Source organism: Homo sapiens, chromosome 3, assembly GCF_000001405.40.
Source record: "Homo sapiens chromosome 3, GRCh38.p14 Primary Assembly".
Taxonomy (NCBI): domain Eukaryota; kingdom Metazoa; phylum Chordata; class Mammalia; order Primates; family Hominidae; genus Homo; species Homo sapiens.
The window spans coordinates 98,871,645-98,889,726 of NC_000003.12; the positions used below are offsets into that span (position 1 = coordinate 98,871,645).

The 18,082-nt window shown below is 35.2% G+C and overlaps 1 protein-coding gene and 1 pseudogene across 3 annotated transcripts in view; both read right to left on the reverse strand.

Moving 5' to 3' along the window:
• The window catches only part of DCBLD2 (discoidin, CUB and LCCL domain containing 2), a 105,755-nt gene that overhangs the window by 75,704 nt on the left and 11,969 nt on the right, over positions 1-18,082 (reverse strand). For 2 of the 3 annotated variants that reach the window (NM_080927.4, XM_024453348.2), the window contains exon 2: positions 9,896-10,123. The exons of the other annotated variant lie outside the window; for it this stretch is intronic. In NM_080927.4, coding sequence (NP_563615.3) covers positions 9,896-10,123 — 228 coding nt within the window. The remainder of the gene's footprint in view (positions 1-9,895; positions 10,124-18,082) is intronic. 3 annotated transcript variants of the gene reach the window in all.
• Positions 439-536, reverse strand: LOC124906384 (uncharacterized; annotated as a pseudogene).

Sequence of the window (18,082 nt, forward strand, 5' to 3'; positions counted from 1 at the left end):
TCTTGTTGATATACTGCTGAATCTGGTTTGCTAGAATTTTGTTGAGGATTTTTGCACCTATGTTCATTAGGAATATTGGTCTGCAGTTTTCCTTGTTTGTTGTGTCTTTTCCTGGCTTTGGTATTAGGGTGATACCGGGTTCATAGAAAGAATTAGGGAGGATTCCCTCTTTCTCCATCTTTTAGAATAGTTTCAGTAGAATTGGCATCAGTTCTTCTTTCCATGTCTGGTAAAATTCAGCTGTGAATCCATCTGGTCCTGGGCATTCGTTGTTGTTGTTGTTGTCATTGGGAGATTTTTTATTACTGATTCAATCTCACTACTTATTACTTGGTCCATTCAGGATTTCTGTTTCTTCCTGATTCAAATTTGTGGGATTGTGTGTTTCTAGGAATTTATCCATTTCCTCTAGACTTTCTAGTTTGTGTGCACAGACATATTCACAGTAGTCTTAGATCATTTTTTCCAGTGTTCTACACATTCAGAGAAACTTTCTAATAATAAACTACAGAAGTGATCTCTGAAAGTATAGTCTTCATGTTGAAGTTTAACTGCCAGCATGACAGTATTGGAAAGTGGGGCCTAATGGGAGTTGTTTGGGTCATGGGGCCAGATCTCTTATAAATTGATTAATGCCATCTCACGGGAGTGAGTTCTCACTCTAACAGGACTGGATTAGTTACCATGACAGTGGGTTGTTATAAAGCAAGTCAGCCTCCTCGGTCCCCTCTCTCTCTGCACAAGCCCCTTTCCCTTCCAGTTTCCTCCATGAGTTGAAGCAGCACAAAACCTTTATCAGATGAGCTGTCCACTCTTGCACTTTCCAGCCACCAGAATTATGAACCAAATAAACCTCTTTTCTTTATAAAACATCCAGCTTCAGTTATTCTGTCGTAGCCACACTAAACAGAATAAAACTGAGGAAACTGGGTACAGAAGGAAGGGGAAAGAAGTCTAGTTCATTGAATGTTTTATAGGCAATAGGTAGAAAATAAAGAATACCATTAAAAATGGACAAATCGGATAGTAAATGATTAAGACAATAGGGACCACAGGCATTTTAAAAAGTATAAATTGAAAAGCAGCACCTAGAACAAAACTATAAACCTTACCAAACACGAAAAGACACTTAAAAAAAACCAGAAGGACAGAAAACAATGTAGAAAAAATGAACACAACAAATATAATATACATAACTTTGAAAGATATGGAAGAGTTAAAATGTATCAGTTATAAATAAATGCGAATGGATTTAACTTAGACATTAAAAATATTTGCAATTTGGCTCATAAAGACCCAAAAATATGCAATATTCAAGAAAGACACCCAAAACAAAGTGATTCAGAAAGGCTAAAAATAAAGTGATGGGCACAGACAGACACAGCAGGATAATGAAAACAATAAGGAATTAATAGGAGGGTATGTGTGTGATACTGGTGTCAAACAAAGGAGAATTCAAACTAAAAAGTAATATATGATGGGTAGGAAACCTTTAAATGTGAGAAGTCATAATTTAAAATGGAGATATTAGAATTATGAATATCTAGTCGACACAGCACAGCAACTTTATAAAAGCAAAACCTCCAGGAGACAGCAAAGAAAGAGAAAGAACCACACCAAATAGGAGATCAAACAGATAAAATAAGTATATAGAAGACAGAAACAGCAAAATAAAGACAGATTTTTAAATGCATATCAAACTTTTTACAGTAGAGAGTAAACCTTCTCAAGTATATATAGAATATTCACAAAAAAACTGGTCATACATTAGCTTATAAAGTAGAAATTTTACAATGCTCTCTGACTATAATGCAATAGAATTATACATTATTAGCAATAACAAAGAAAGGTCCTTCCAATTAGAAATAAACCTGTTAAACAATTATTGGGTAAAAGAAAAACATAAACCAAAGTTTAAAAATTCCTAAAAAATGATATAATTGACCCATATTAATCAGTGATATCATTCTTAAGGATGTGATCAAAGTAAAATTCATAGGCTTAGATATTTTTATCAATAAAAATGAAAGAAAAAGTGAATTAAATGCCTAGCTAAAACTAGCAGTTAACAAAGTAAAAAAAAAATTTTAAATCATGAAAATAGAGATTAATAATGTAGACAACAGAAAAACAATAGTTCTAATAAATCAAGATTCATTTTTTGGAAAAATTTAACAGAATAGGCATGCCCCTAGCTAATTTAATGAAAAAAGAGGGTGGGAAGCATAAATATGTAAAATAAGAAATGACAGGAGGTAAATAACTATTGGAAAAACACTGAAATAACCATGTTAATAACTGTAAGATTCTATTTTACAGACATCATGGCCAATATATTAGATCACCTAGGTGAATGGGTAATTTACCAGGCAAGTACCGTTTATTACAATTGGACCCATTAGAGGTAGAAAGCTCAAACAGACCAATTTCCTGAGAAGAAACAGAGAACGTCATTAAGGAAGCATCCTATCAAAAACGCACCAGGCTAAAATAGCTTCACAGAGTGAAACCTTCAAAAACTAGATTGTTCAAATTCTCTGTAAATTTTTCCAGAGAACTAAAAAGAAAGGAAAACTTCATATTTCTTTTTATTTGTATGTATAGTATCAATACCTAAGCCTGATAAAGAAAATGCAAAGTAAATTACAAATTAATATCACACCAATATTTATGCAAAAATACTAATAAAATATTAGGAAACATAATCCAATGCCACATTAAAAGAATGTCACATCATAACCAAGAGATACTTATTCCAACAATGCACAGTTATTTCAATATTAGGGAACCCATTAATATAATACACTATACCAATAGATTTAGGTAGAAAAACCATATCATTACCTCCATAGATGCTAAAAAAGCTTTTCAACAAAATTCAATAGTCTTTCTTGATAACAACACTTAATGGAAATCAGTGGATACTTCCTATTATGGACCAGATACTGGTACGCCCCCCAAAATTAATTGCTGTTGAAGTCCCAACTCTTAATATGACTAGAGTTGGAGTTAGGCTCTTTAGAGAGGTAATTAAAATTAAATGGTTTTAGTTTTCCTAAGGTGGGGCGCTGATCCAACAGGATTAGTGTACTTATAAGAAGAGACATAAGAGAACCTGCTGTTTCTCTCTCCTCATCCCTCCAACCTCGTCATGTGAGGACACAGGAAGAAGGTGGCCATCTACAAGCCAGGAAGAGAGCCCTCACCAGAAACTGAATTGCTTGGCATCTTGATGTGGGACTTCTAGCCTCCAAAACTCTGAGAAAGTAAACTGCTGTTTTTTTAAGCCACTCGGTCTATAGATTTTGTTACGGCAACCTGAGCTCAGACACTTTAAATTTCCACTAAGATAAGGAACCCGGAAAGGATGCTCACTCTCTCCACTACTGTTTAACGTAGTCCTGGACTGGAGGTGTTAGCCAATACAATTAGATAAAAGAATCAACCATAGGCATAAGAAATGGAAAAAAAGGAAGTAGAACTATCTCTATCTGCAGATGTGATTGTGTATCTGAAAATCCCTAGAAAGTGAATGATAAAACTAACTGAAATAATTTTAAAAACTCAGTAAAATAGCAGAAAAAAATCAACATACAGAAATACAATCTCACATAATTAGGAACCCGTTACAGGATATAACAGCAAAACAAAAACACCTCCATCTCCATTGCAACAAAGCAGATAAGATGTTAAGGATTAAGTTTAACAAAAAATGTGTAAACCCTACATGAGAAAGAGTTTAAAACAATCCTTAAAGACAACAAAAGTAGATGTGAAGAAAGGAGAAAAAAAAAGAGCTCTTGGTTTTGAACTTAAGATAACTCAACATCATAAAGTTAATTTATAAACAGTATAATGTCAATAAAAACACCAACGAGCTTTTTTGTGGAGTTAGATAAGCTGATACTAAACTTCACATGGATAAACAAACAGGAAGGAAGACCCAGGAAAACACTAAAAATGAACGTTTCTGAAAGGAGACTAAGCCCTATCAGGCATTAACACATACCGTAAAGCCTCTGAAAGCCTTTACAAAACAGTCACATTCTGGTATGTGGATAGATACATCTGTGGAGTGCAACCCAAAGTCCAGAAATAGACCCAAGCACATACAGAACTGCAGTATATGATAAAGGCAGTATTTCAAACCACTGGGACAAAGATAAACTTTTAAATGCATGGTGATGGGGCAAGTGGTTAGTCATATGGAAAACACAATGAGATCTATACTTCATGCCATACAAAAGAAAAAAACCCCGATGTACCAGGGATCTAAATATAAAAAATGAAATCATATAATCCCACTATGAAAAAAATGGGTAAATTTATCTTTAGTTGGGATATAGGAAGAAGCTTTCTAACTAGGACTTAGAATCTAGATGCAATTTAAAAAAAGACTAATGAATCTAACTATAAATACATTTTTAAAAGTTTGCATGGTTGAAAAAAAGTAACATAAACAAAGTCAAAAGACAACTGACAAATTAGGAGAAATTATTTGTAGCATATACCACTATTATGTTTATAGACTAATATCCCTAAAAGATAATGAGAAGTCCTAAAACCTGAGAGAAACAAAGACCAATAAAACTTGACAGATGGGCAAATGGTGTGTGCCTGTCGTCCCAGCTACTCAGGGGGCTGAGGTGAGATGATTGCTTGAGCCCAGGGGTTTGAGGCCAGCCTGAGCAATATAGAAAGACCTGTCTTTAAAAATAAAAAAAAACTTGACAGAAAAACGGGCAAAAGACAGGAAGAGATAAAAAGTAAAAAAAAAAAAAAAAAAAAAAAAAAAAAAGGCCGTCAACATATGGGAAAAAACAGTTCAATTTCACTCATAGTAAGAGAAATGCAAATTACAACTATACTGAGCACTATTTATCATTATCAATTGGCAAAACTTAAAAGATATGACAACACACTTTGTTGGGAAGGCTGTGGAAAACAAGCATTTTTATGCTATGGAAATGCAAACTGGTATAACTTCCAATTTAGCAATGTCTAACAAAGTATATAATTTACCTTTTGACTCAGCAATCACTTCAGGAATCTACACCAAAGACACCTCTAAGAATACAAAAATAGTTTGTAACTGTAAAATATTGAAAGCAACCAATACAACCATTCATAAAAGAGTGATTAAATAAACTATGATACATCCACATGATGGAGTTCTATACTGCTATAAAAAGAATGAGGACTATCCTACAAAATGATGCACAGTGATTTCCAGAAAACACTGATAGGTAGGGAGAAAGCAAAGTACAAAAGAATATTGAAAGAATGTTAAAGTTCGTATAAGAAAGGAGAAAACAGAAAATATAAATGTCATTTGTATAAAGAAGTACGGAAAAGATAAAACAAACACTAATGCAATTGGTTAGCTACAGGGAGTGAGTGGAGATGGGGTTAAAAGGAAAGAAGAAATGCACTGTAAAGGGGAGGAATGTCACTTATCTACCTTTTTGTACAGTTTTAACTTTGAGAATCATGTTAATGTTTAACATATTCAACAAAAGAGAAAGAAAACCAACAAGGATAAAGAAAAAACCTATAATGGAAGATGAACAGAAAGAAATGAACCAAACCATATTTCAAATGAGTAACATAACCACATTGAAGGGCAGGTGGTGGTGGAGTAAGAACCAGCCTAAAGAATTTTTTAATGTAGTATTTAGACTCTAAGTCCTCAGGTACGAATTCTAGGTAGCAGGCTTCTTTCAGTTCGAGTCATGGGTTAGCAATTCTAAAACTATTTTCTGGTTATAGCACTGAACAAGTAAATACATTACAGGTAATGGGAGCAAGATTTCTCACTGTCAGAGAAGTGAGTTAGAAAGAAAAATAGGAAAAGGATAGAATGAACCCTATAATGTTGCATTAGTATTAAAGGTATCAGCATAAACTCATGCTCTTTAATACAGGCAGATAAATATAAAAAGATATAACAGGTACATGTATATACATATGTATATACAAATGTCTATTTACTAAATCTATTTGTTGATAGGCATATGGTAGCTCATTGGTCTAAACCTAGCAACCAGACATTGATTTCTAATACCATTCTCCACTAAAAAGAACCAGGGTTCCCTGAAGAAATGGCTGATTCCAGGGCTGGAGCAGGGCAATCACAAGATAAACCTAGAATATCCTGTGCCAGAATATAAAGAGGTACTCAAATAATGATGAGGACATCACCAAAGGACATAGGAGCTAGCGTGAAGAGGCTCCCACTGGAGATTTGGGACAATCTGAGCACCAAAATAATGACAGGAAAGGGTGATAAGTGATGGCCTAACACAGGAATCCATTGACTTCACACTGATATAAACAAACAAATGGGAGAGAAGGGAAAGATCCTGTTTTTAGTATGAAAAAAAAACCTAATAAATACAGAAGGAATAATGAAATTAGAAAATAATAATTGATTCATACAAGATTAATATGTCCCAAATCTAGTGGGTATAAGTTTGATGAGTAACAGGATATTTCCAACATTTCAAAGAGTCTCCCAATCAGACATGTATTGGTTATGAAGAGCAGCATAGTTACAGTGTAGAAAACTGAGAGACATCACCTTAGCCAAAATATCAAAGTTAATAGCACCAGAAATGGGACAAATCAATCTCATGTGCCATGATATGATACACTGAGAACAGCGCATCTGTGGTATTCTTGCCAAAAGTCTGTCACTGGAATCTAATAATGAGGAAGCATCAGACACACATCCCACGAAATCATTAGCCCATATACTTCAAATGTGAACATCAGAAACACAGAGAGACCAATGAACTCTCTTCTCCTTTAATGCTTGTTTTCTAAAGGGGCACTGAGAAAACATGATATAGGGGGAAAAAAAAAGATTCAGTGACATTATCCCTGAAATCCTGATGCCCACAATGTATTTGTTTCTATCCTGTAATTCTCTGCAGACCTATCTTAACCAGAATGTTAAACGACTATTCTTGAATTATCTTTATTTCTCTGCAATACGTTAAGAAACTTTTCTACCACTAACCATAGGCTGCTACCAAATGGAGGACCAGTGGGTATACGGTAGGTGTGATGGGGGAAGGGTGGGTACAAACTGAAGCCCAACAGGAACCATCATCACTCAGGCCCCTTGACCTTTCTGCAGCTTTCCATTCACCCATGAGGAGAATAGGAAAAAGCAATGGAAATAAGGGAAAGCTGAGATTTATTAAATACCTATTACACACCAAACACTGCAAAGTATTACTTCTTTTAATCTTCAGACCGTACAGAAAGTGACTATGAAGTCTGGGCAGGTTCAACACTTTGTAGAAAAAGGACTCTCAACAAGTAACTCCTGGAGCTTTGACTAGAATTCAGCGAGCAATTTGAAACCTGTGCTCAGAATCTTCCCCACGCCACTCTTCCACTCTACCAACAGTGCCACTATGTATTATCTAAATATATAATTCTCTTGTTTTATTTTAACATAACCACTTTTCTTTATAGGAATTTTCAAAATTACACAAAAGTAGAAAGAAGAGGGTGTAACAATTCCCATCTGCCCATTACTCAGCTTCACTAATGTGCCCTTGTTTCTCCTATCCTTCTCCCTATTTCTGAAATACTTAAACATAAATCCTAGACATTTGAACTTGAGAATGTCTCTAACAAATTAGAACTTAAAAATAATTTTAACATTATTACATCTAAAACAGTCATTCTTTACCATCACTGAATGCCCAATGCTTCAAATTTCTCTGATAATCTTTTTTTCTTTTTTTGAGACGGAGTCTTGCTCTGTCACCCAGGCTGGAGTGCAGTGGCTCGATCTCGGCTCACTGCAAGCTCCGTCTCCCGGGTTCACGCCATTCTCCTCCCTCAGCCTCCCAAGTAGCTGGGACTACAGGCGCCCGCCACCACGCCCGGCTCATTTTTTTGTATTTTCAGTAGAGGCAGGGTTTCACCATGTTAGCCAGGATGGTCTCGATCACCTGACCTCGTGATCCGCCCACCTCGGTCTGATAATCTTAAAAATAATTTCTTTCAGTGGTTAGCTTGAATCAAGATCCAAGCAAAGTCTACATATTATTTTAGGAAGATATGTCACAATGTAGAACAGTTACCTTCCCCCTCCTCCTATTTTTTTAAAATGCTATGTATATGTTGAAGAAACTAGGTCGTTTGTTCTACAGAATTTCTCATATCCTTAATTTAGTCCTTACACTCAGTAGAATGTATTTCTCTATCTCCCTTATCTCCTGTAAAGTGTTAGAGGGGTGACCAAACTGTGGTTCACTTTTCCTCACTGTTGCTTAAAGAATGCTCAGGTGGTACTGTCTGCTCCCTACTGCATCTGCAGGAGACATCTACTATCCAGTTATCTTCTATTAGTGTTAATATCACAGTAAGTTTTTCTACATCCTCAGGCGATTTGTGTTCCTAAAACTTTGTTCAACACCATATATTCATGCAATACGCACGTGGTGCTCAAACCACCAGGTTAATCAAGAAGTGACTGAGAAGCACCAAAGTTTATCAATCAGCAGCCTGGGAGATAGGGCAGGAATTTTTCCTCTGGTAGATAAGAGGCCAAAAAAGTAAAGAAGAGATGAAGGATTTCACTAGAGATGGAGAGGAAGCCAGAGGATGAACATAGTATGGTATTTAAAGAACAGTATATTGGATTCCTATTATAGTTCTGAAGGATATTTTACACACTGGAACCAAAAAATGTTTCTAAATAAACTCACAGAGAATTCCTAATTTTATAATGTTAGTTCACCTAAAAAGCCTTACAAATTTTTCCACCTTTCTTGCTTAAGAAAGGTACTGATGCCTAAATCAAAGGTTTTTAAACGTGACTGCAAGAGATTTTCCCAGGAAGCGTTTAAGATACTGAGGCCTGGGTTCCACCTAATCAATTCTGATTCAACTGGTCTAGGATGGTAACTGGGTTTATGGTATTGTTTACTACTTAGGTGGCTCTAATATGCAGCTATAATTGAGAACCACTGCTCTTAATCAAGAACAACAACAATGGCCACTACCATTTACTAAGCATATATTATATCTTAGGTGCTGTTTACTTTTCTAAGCACGTTACACATACTAGTTCATTCCCTGTATTTTTTACAAGAGAAAAAATGGAGAGGTCAGGTAATCTGGCCAAAGTCACACAGCAAGCTGATGAGAGTTATGCTTTAATCCCAGGAAGTTTGGATCCAAAACCCTTGTTTTTAATCACCATGCTATACTGTCTCCTAAGCATTAATTATACTTGTATTCTTCAATTGCAAATAAAACTATGAAAGGAAAACATTTTTAAAAATGAGATAATTGGCTGGGTGCAGTGGTTTACGCCTGTAATCCCAGCACTTTGGGAGGCTGAGGTGGGTGGATCACCTGAGGCTGGAGTTTGAGACCAGCCTGGCCAACAGCCTGGCCACCATGGTGAAACCGTCTCTACTAAAAATCAAAAAAAAATTAGCCGGCTATGGTGGCGAGCGCCTGTAATCAGGTACTTGGGAGGCCGAGGCAGGAGGATAGCTTGAACCCAGGAGGCGGAGGTTGCAGTGAGCCAAAATTGCGCCATTGCCCTCCAGCCTGGGCTACAAAAGCAAGACTCTGTCTCAAAAAAAAAAACAAAAAAAAAAAAACAGAGAATTAACTTCCTCCTTCTTAGTAGTACAGTGGCATCTTGGGCAAGGGTACCAATATGTGCTTATTAGAAAAGTAAATAAAGTAAACAGACAAGAATCTTCTCTTCCCAAAAGATTCAAATTCAAAATTTTTACACATATTCAATAATTTCCCACATAGCACCTTACACTGCATGGTTATTTAATGTTAATATCAAAAAAATACATCATTGAGACAATGATGTATTTACATGTACATTTACAAAAAAAAGTCCTACCTATTTCAGTTCTGCTGACTCCAATTCCATTATAAATTCTCAAGTAATTAAAGTGACAAGAATCAGAATCTTCAATGTCAAAGTCACCAAATTTGATGCGAACTCTCTCTCCCATCTTTACACGGATCTCCCATTCACAAACAGTGCTGTTGGGATAGGTCTGTGGGTAGTTTATGGATGTAAGGGTTCCACTCTCAGGGCCTAGTACAGTGTGTCCACATCCATCACCTTTAAAAAAAGTGAAAAGAATGATAAATTATTCTCACATATTTTACTTCCTCTATAATGATTTTTTTGTGAAGATTTAAAAATATGCACGACATCAAATATTTTATACCACCCATACTTTCTATTTTATTTTTTTTAATGGACAAATAATTGTACATACTCATGGGGTTCACAGTGATGTTCTGATACATATGATGTATAGTGATCAGATCAGGGCAATTAGCAAATGCATCATCTCAAACATTTATCACTTGTGTTACCTGAAACTACATAATTTTGTTAACTATAGCCATCCTGCAGTGGTAGATTCCTCCTATCTAGCTGTAACTTTGTATCCTTTAACAAATCACAAGACCTGACATTGTTCTTAGTATATCTATTCACAGGAGGCAAGAGAAGACAAGTTAGGTCAAAATAATCAATGGTTACTTATATAATTTATAAGTTCAAGGAGATTTCAATTCTGAACAAATAAAAGTAAATATAAATTAGTAGTCATTAAATATACATATACATGTTATAATAAATCCAATCTTCAAAAGAAGAGCAACTTAATTGTTCAAAAAGTGAATGTAAAATATAGAAATGTGGTCAGCTTCATCTATTTACAAATCATGAACCAAAATATCTGTGAGAAGCTGAATGGAAGCTCTTTTTTTTTTAACTTTTTAAAAATTATACAAGTTCTGGGGTACATGTGCACAATGCGCAGGTTACACAGATATACATGTGCCATGTTGGTTTGCTGTGCCCATCAACCCATCATCTACATTAGGTATTTCTCCTAATGCTATCCCTTCCCCAGCCTCCCAGCCTCTGACAGGCCCCAGTGTGTGATACTCCCTTCCCTGTGTACGTGTGTTCTCATTGTTCAACCCCCACTTATGAGTGAGAACATGTGGTGTTTGGTTTTCTGTCCTTGTGGTAATTTGCTGAGAATGATGGTTTCCAGCTTCATCCATGTCCCTGCAAAGGACATGAACTCATCCTTTTTTATGGCTGCATAGTATTCCATGGTGTATATGTGCCACATTTTCTTTATCCAGTCTATTACTGATGAACACTTGGGTTAGTTCCAAGTCTTTGCTATTGTGAATAGTGCCGCAATAAACATATGTGTGCATGTGTTTTTATAGTAGCATGATTTATGATCCTTTGGGTATATGCCCAGTAATGGGATGGCTGGGTCAAATGGTATTTCTAGTTCTAGATCCTTGAGGAATCGCCACACTGTCTTCCACAATGGTTGAACTAATTTACACTCCCACCAACAGTGTAACAGCATTCCTATTTCTCCACATCCTCTCCAGCATCTGTTGTTTCCTGACTTTTTAATGATTACCATTCTAACTGGCCATGAGATAGTATCTCATTGTGGTTTTGATCTGCATTCTCTAATGACCAGTGATGATGAGCATTTTTTTCATATGTTTGTTGGCTGCATAAATGTCGAGAAGCTGAATATTTCTAAAAACACTATGTACGAAAGATTATGCAGATTACTGACTATTACAGACTACAAGGCACTCCTTCTTGAAATTATTAAAGCAATATTTAATGAAGTTTAATTCTATATTTACTGAAATTTAACTTTTTAGTAGTTCCTCCCGCACACCTTATTTTTTCCCTATAGAATAAGGAGAAGTAAAATTAAAGATTTGAAAAAATGACCTTTATATATTGGCAGCAGCATTATTTGCTCCAGAAATTTATTCAGCAGCTAAATACAGAAACTTAGTTAACAACATGTTTGTAAAAATGAAATATTTGCATTCTTTATCATAAAGTTTGTATTTTGTTTTTACTGAGCACCCAGAAGGAAAAATTAATGTTCATTTAGGAGTTTCAGCAGCTGCTCCAACTGTACTGTTCAGCATTCCATAACAATAAGATTCAAATAAATCTCTTTCTAGTAGGATGATGAATATATGCTTTTAAAATAACAGCATTTTGTCCTTCAAAACAGTTATTTACAAATCACCTTTTGGAACAGTACAGCACTTACACAAAAACTATATTAAAAGTGACACTGCTGAGTTCTAAACTCAATATGGACACAGAGGGCTGTAATAGAACTTTCTACTATGTTGATTATTTTTAAGAACAAATGTAGTGCTAATATTTGCTAGAAAAGATGAAAACTTTCAAAAGCCTATGAATAAGAATTTCATGTAGTTTTTAGTAAGTGGTGGATGCTAAATAAATGTTTATTAATTGAATAAGGAAACTGTACATTAATCTATGAAAAAGTAATTTCAAATTAGTCTCAAAGCTAACTTTAATGATGGAACAACTTTGTACCTAAATTCTTATGATAATACTTAAAAATCGTATCCTTGGCTGATAAAGAAATTTTATTGTTGAATCCATATTAGTATTGCTCCTTAGTCTACTTTTAAAGGTCAGTACTAGAAATCTGGCTTTCTGAACAAGTATCTCTCACACAAAGCTTAGTTTTTAATCAACATTAAATTTTAGCTATCTTCTATACTTGCTTTCATTTCATACACAAGAACTAGGCATAGCAACTCAGTAACACAAAAATATATAAGGGCAGAATGTAATAAACGTGGATTTCTGTGCAATATATCCACTGGTCTTTTGCAAATATAAAATGTAGGATGTTACACAGTCCATAAAAAAAAAAAACCACAAATTTCCCCTGAAACTGGCATGAAAATACCTTGAATATCTCTGCTGGATATCAGCTAAATTAAAAACATAGGGATATAAAAAAATCTACTGTGAAAATAAATGAATTGTAAGATAAATAACTCTTAAACAATCACTAACATTTTTCCTCAGAGGAAAAAACTACCACCCTAAGACAGAGTTCCTAACATTATAAAACTAGTCTGAAATGCCCTTACTACTGAAAAGATGAAAACATTCTTCCTGTAGGTGGTTCAATCTTCATAAAATAACCACTGAATAAACAAAGTAACTCAAAATATAAATGCACGTTCTTTAGTAAATAGAAAACAAAGGCAGCTTTTAAGGTGATTGAAAGTGTAGATGAATTTCAGAAACTCAAGTATTTTCTATTAACAGCTGAATCTACGACTTTGTAGTGGCAGATTGTCACACTTAAGGTATTCCCTGTAGGCTATTATTCAACTTACGGTTGTCATTTAAAAATGATTTTTACAAAGAGTACACGCAGAGTGTTAGGAGTAATTTTTAGGTGTCTTATGCTCATGTTTGATTCTCAATAAATACACGAACATTTACTGCCCTTTCCAACATGAAGGATAATTTCTACAAAAGTTAACAAAAGAAATACTAACTGATGAAAAACAGGACTTTTGCATGCATGCTGATGAAGAAAATAATTACAGAGTTGTCTTTTTTCATAACCTTGTGTAGGGGGAGGGCAGGAACAGTCCACAAGTAACGTGCCAAGAATGTTCTAAAATATGTGATGGAGTTCAGAGCTTCCTCCTCTTGCAAGCAAGATGATATGCACCAGAAACTAAAGTTAACAACAGGTCTCCAATCTACAGCAATGAACAAATTTGAATGCTTTGTATCTCAAAAAATATTTGACAAGTTTAACCTGACTGGATAAATAGCTTAACTAAGCACCTACTGCTATGAAATATATGTTCAGAATACTCCAGTTCAAAAGGGAAGGCTAGACATATACATATTTTTTTTGCTTATTCCAAAAGAAATACCGTTTACATCGTGACCCTATACACTCTCGCATGCACGCTCATGACCCACTAAAGTATTTCATGACCCCCTAATGTGTCCCCAACTGCAATCTGAAAAACACTGTGCTAGGTATGCAAAGGTCTTAACATTGAATTTGCAAATCAAGGAAAGACCTCGTTCTCATTTTCACCCCTAAATTAGAAATGTGTTTCCAGTTTATTTTTACAGTTCTTAAAAGTAAAGCCTATTCCACCAAGATACTTAAAATACGACAAAATATTTAAAAGTAGAACTAAAATTGGGAAAACATTCTTGATCAACCAATTATGTAATACACTTAGAGCAGTGATTCTCAAAAGGTGGGTTGCAGGGCAGAGGAGAAGAGGACCCCACAGAAGCAATTTTACCTCCCATTTGGCAGTGTCTTGAGACAATTTTGGTTGTCACAACTGGAGGGGGAGGGGTGTTATTGGCATCTAGTAGGTAAAGGCCAGAAAAGCTGCTAAAACATCTTATCATGCACAGGAGGTCCCTCAGAACAAAGAATGATCAACCTTAAAAGTGAATAGTGCTGAGGTTAAGTGCTGACTTAGAGTTAAAGCTAGAAAATCTCAGAAAAAAGATCTGGTTTAGCTCTTGGCTGGGTTCCATTTGGCCCAAAGGGTAATGCTGTTCTATTCACTAAGAGACTGGTTTTCCCCCAAAGATCAGCAGTTATACTAAAGAGTTTTATGTTCCGACTTTCCAATTTTTAAAAAAAGTAAAAGGAATGTTTTATTTTTCTTTAACATAAAGAAATGCTTTTTATTAGTCTACAGACCTCAAATGATATATATTTTTTCTGGGTCAGGAGCTCTTAACATTAGGAGGGAAAGGAGCTAACAGTAATCATCTGTGACTGCTATTAATTCTGAGTAGCTTTGTACACTGGGAAGAATAATGATCTGTGACCAGGCTACACCACCTACTATTATTCCTGCTCATAAGGCAGAATTGACAAAAAGAGTAAAACTACTCTTGGAAAAAACAACATTCAGAGCACCAATCCATACATTCTCACCAACTCCAACTTCACTAACTTTCTCCTTCTCCAAACTCCATCAGCACTATCACTGACAGGTTCTCTTTTTCATCTTCCTCCTCGACATGTTCTCCACCAGACTATAACTGATCAAAAAGGGTAGAAGCCTGTTAACCTAATTTTTGAATTTTAATTTTATTTCAGCTAAGAATAAACACTGGAATTTGATCTTAATGATTCTTTGGCTGCACATTTATCTAGGGAATTACTCATAGAACATGTGTTCACTTCCTCTGAAGAGTGTAAGGTCAGATGTGTTAAGCCAGATACAAATTTTGATATTATTACAGGAAAACCCCCCCCCTTTTTTTTTTTTTTTTACTACTTATCCCTAGAAAAAAGAGAAAGAAAATTAAACGTATTTAAATGATAATGAATTATTGCAACAAAGAATGCATGCTTTTTTAGGCTACTCTAATTAAACTCCAAATCAAGTGTGTTTTTTGTTTAAGTATGTGCTTGTGATGCTGATTCCATATGACTTTCCAGCCACCCCCAGATTTTAGCCATATCACTACTGATAAATTGTATTAATTATATTCTTATATATGCATTACTGAATTTTAATAATATGAACATTGTGATTTCCAAAATTATTTCCTTTAACAGCAAATGCAGGATACACTTGCACAAATATGCCAAAAATGGAGAGCAAAGGTTTAAACTTTTCCAGTGAGTTTTCAAGGTTTTTTTTGGTGAACTGGTGAGTCTGACTATACTTGCTCTAAATAACTGTCACTTTGGTCACATAATATATCTGCGAGATCTTAAAATGAGAAAGCATGGAGCTTTTACGAAACAGAAAAGTGTTCAGAAGAGTAAGTTGCAACTGTTAACTAACGTATCTGATTTCATTTGGTTACAATAAAGTTTTTATTATTTGGTACTGTGAATTTTTAGACCAGAAGTACTATATCAACCTTGTAATTGTGAGGTTTGTTAAGTTGCATCACTACAAATCTCAGATAATTCAAATACTACTCTAATTTCACTTAATTTTTTAATGTCCTCTTTAGCCCTGGTAATTTTCCTTGTTCTGAAGTTTTGTCTGAAATTAATACAGTGACTCCAGTCTTCTTTAGTGTTCACAAGGTATATCTTTCTCCATCCCTACAGTTTTTAAATTGTGGTAAAACATATATAACATAAATTTAGTATTTAAAATATATTTCACTTTTTAAAGCAGTTTTAGGTTCATAATAAAACTGAATAGAAAGAACAGATATTTGTCATATATCCCTTGCCCCTACACTTGCATAGCCTCCTTCATTATTAACATTCCTGACTAAACTGATACATTTGTTACAATTGATGAACCTACACTGACACATTGTTATCACCCTGAGTCCACAGTTCATATTAGGGTTCACTCCTGGTGTACATTCTATAGGTCTGGACAAATATATGACATGTACCCACCACTATAGTATCACACAGAGTAGTTTCACTGCCCTAAAAATCCCATGTTCCACCTGCTCATCTCTACCTCCCCCAAAACCCTGGTAACCACTGATCTTTTTCGGGTCTCCCTAGTTTTGCCTTTTCCAGAGCATCAAACAGTTGGAATCACATAGTTGGTAGCCTTTTCGGATTGGCTGCTTTCATTTAGTAGAATGTATTTAAATTTCCTCCATGGTTTTTTGTGGCTTGATAGCTCATTTATTTAATTTTTAAAATACTGCATAAGATGCACATGCATTCAGAGTCCAAAGAGGGTCAATGTGACCATTTTTTTAAAAAGACATTGCCCCCAGCTTCATTCTTTTTAAGCTCAAACTCATCTCTGCATGTGTGATAATCTACAAAACTGAATAACATGAAGGAATGTGAGCTATATATAAATCCTCTTCAACTCCACCATGCACATACTCTACCTAGAATGCAATGGTTATACACACTGGAGTCATACAATCAATTTAAATGTCCTATCTACCACTCACTATGACCTTGAAAAGGTTACTTATTGCTGCTAAATCACAGTTTTGCCAGGGGTAAAATGGGAATATTAACAATTCAAGCTACCAAGGTTAAGATTTAAACGACATACCATACGAAAACAACTGGTGTCAAGGTCCTAAGCCATAACAATGTGCTCAATAAATATTTGTGAGTACTATTATTGTCATAAAAGATCAGAACAGCTTTTGCCCATTGTTTATTGACCCAGTACACTTGGCTACAATCTGGCGAAAGTTAAGAGAACAATGGCACATTATTTTAGGAAATTTAAATTTATAGCATGCTTTAAAGCTTCTAGTGTCTTGTAGAAAGTATAAATTTATGAGAAAGTAATGCTCACTAATCAACCCAATGACCTCTACTGCAGTTCAGTAACTCACTCTCAGGACCACAACCTGGACTTTATTTTTGCCATTATTGGAAACTACTCCCAACTCTGAAATCTTAAAAACTTTAACATCTCGCTCTTCTGGTTACAGTCTCCTGACCTCTCAGCTCTCTTACACCCACTGCATACTTTCTGTGAACTGGATTTCTCTCTTCTCTCTCCATCTGTTAAGCTGATCCTGGCCTCACTTCTTTCTCTACCTAGTCTGGGCCTCACGTCCAATACATTAACTACACTCTTTCTGATATCTTCGCTTTCTAGCCACTGTATTCTTCTTGAGCATATATCTGCCTGGCAAAAGCTCCACCCTAGATCATTAAATAATTTCTCTTTGTCAAAGAGTTGAGCACTATAGAAAGAGAAAAAACTCACAAAACCCAGGAGATGAGTGTCATCAGATAGTAATGGGTTCCAGCCTCAGATGGGCACTCAAAGCCTCTCAGTTTTCTCTTATTTGGTGGTACTCAAAGTCAAGTCAATGTTAGAATCACTTACAGGCTAATTAAAGGTTCTCAGGCTCCTATTTCCACCTCCCTGGATTCTAACAAGTATGTCAGAAAGATGACCTGAAACTTGGAAATAGGGTAAAAAAAAAGTGTGCAGCACATCCTTTAAATGTCATAAAAAGCAAAAGCCACTCAAAGTTATAGGGCAAAATAATTACCACCTGCTATTTAATGCTGATTAAAGGTTGCAGTCTTGGTTACATGTTAACTTACAGATTGTTTGGTAAAGATGCACATAATTTTTCTATAGTTGAAAAAATAACCTATAGGTAAAAGTTTAAGGCTTTGTTGGCCATTAATCAGTTTTGGCCATCTAATGCAGCTATCATATCCTAACATTGCCTATAAACACCTAGCTTCTCAAATAC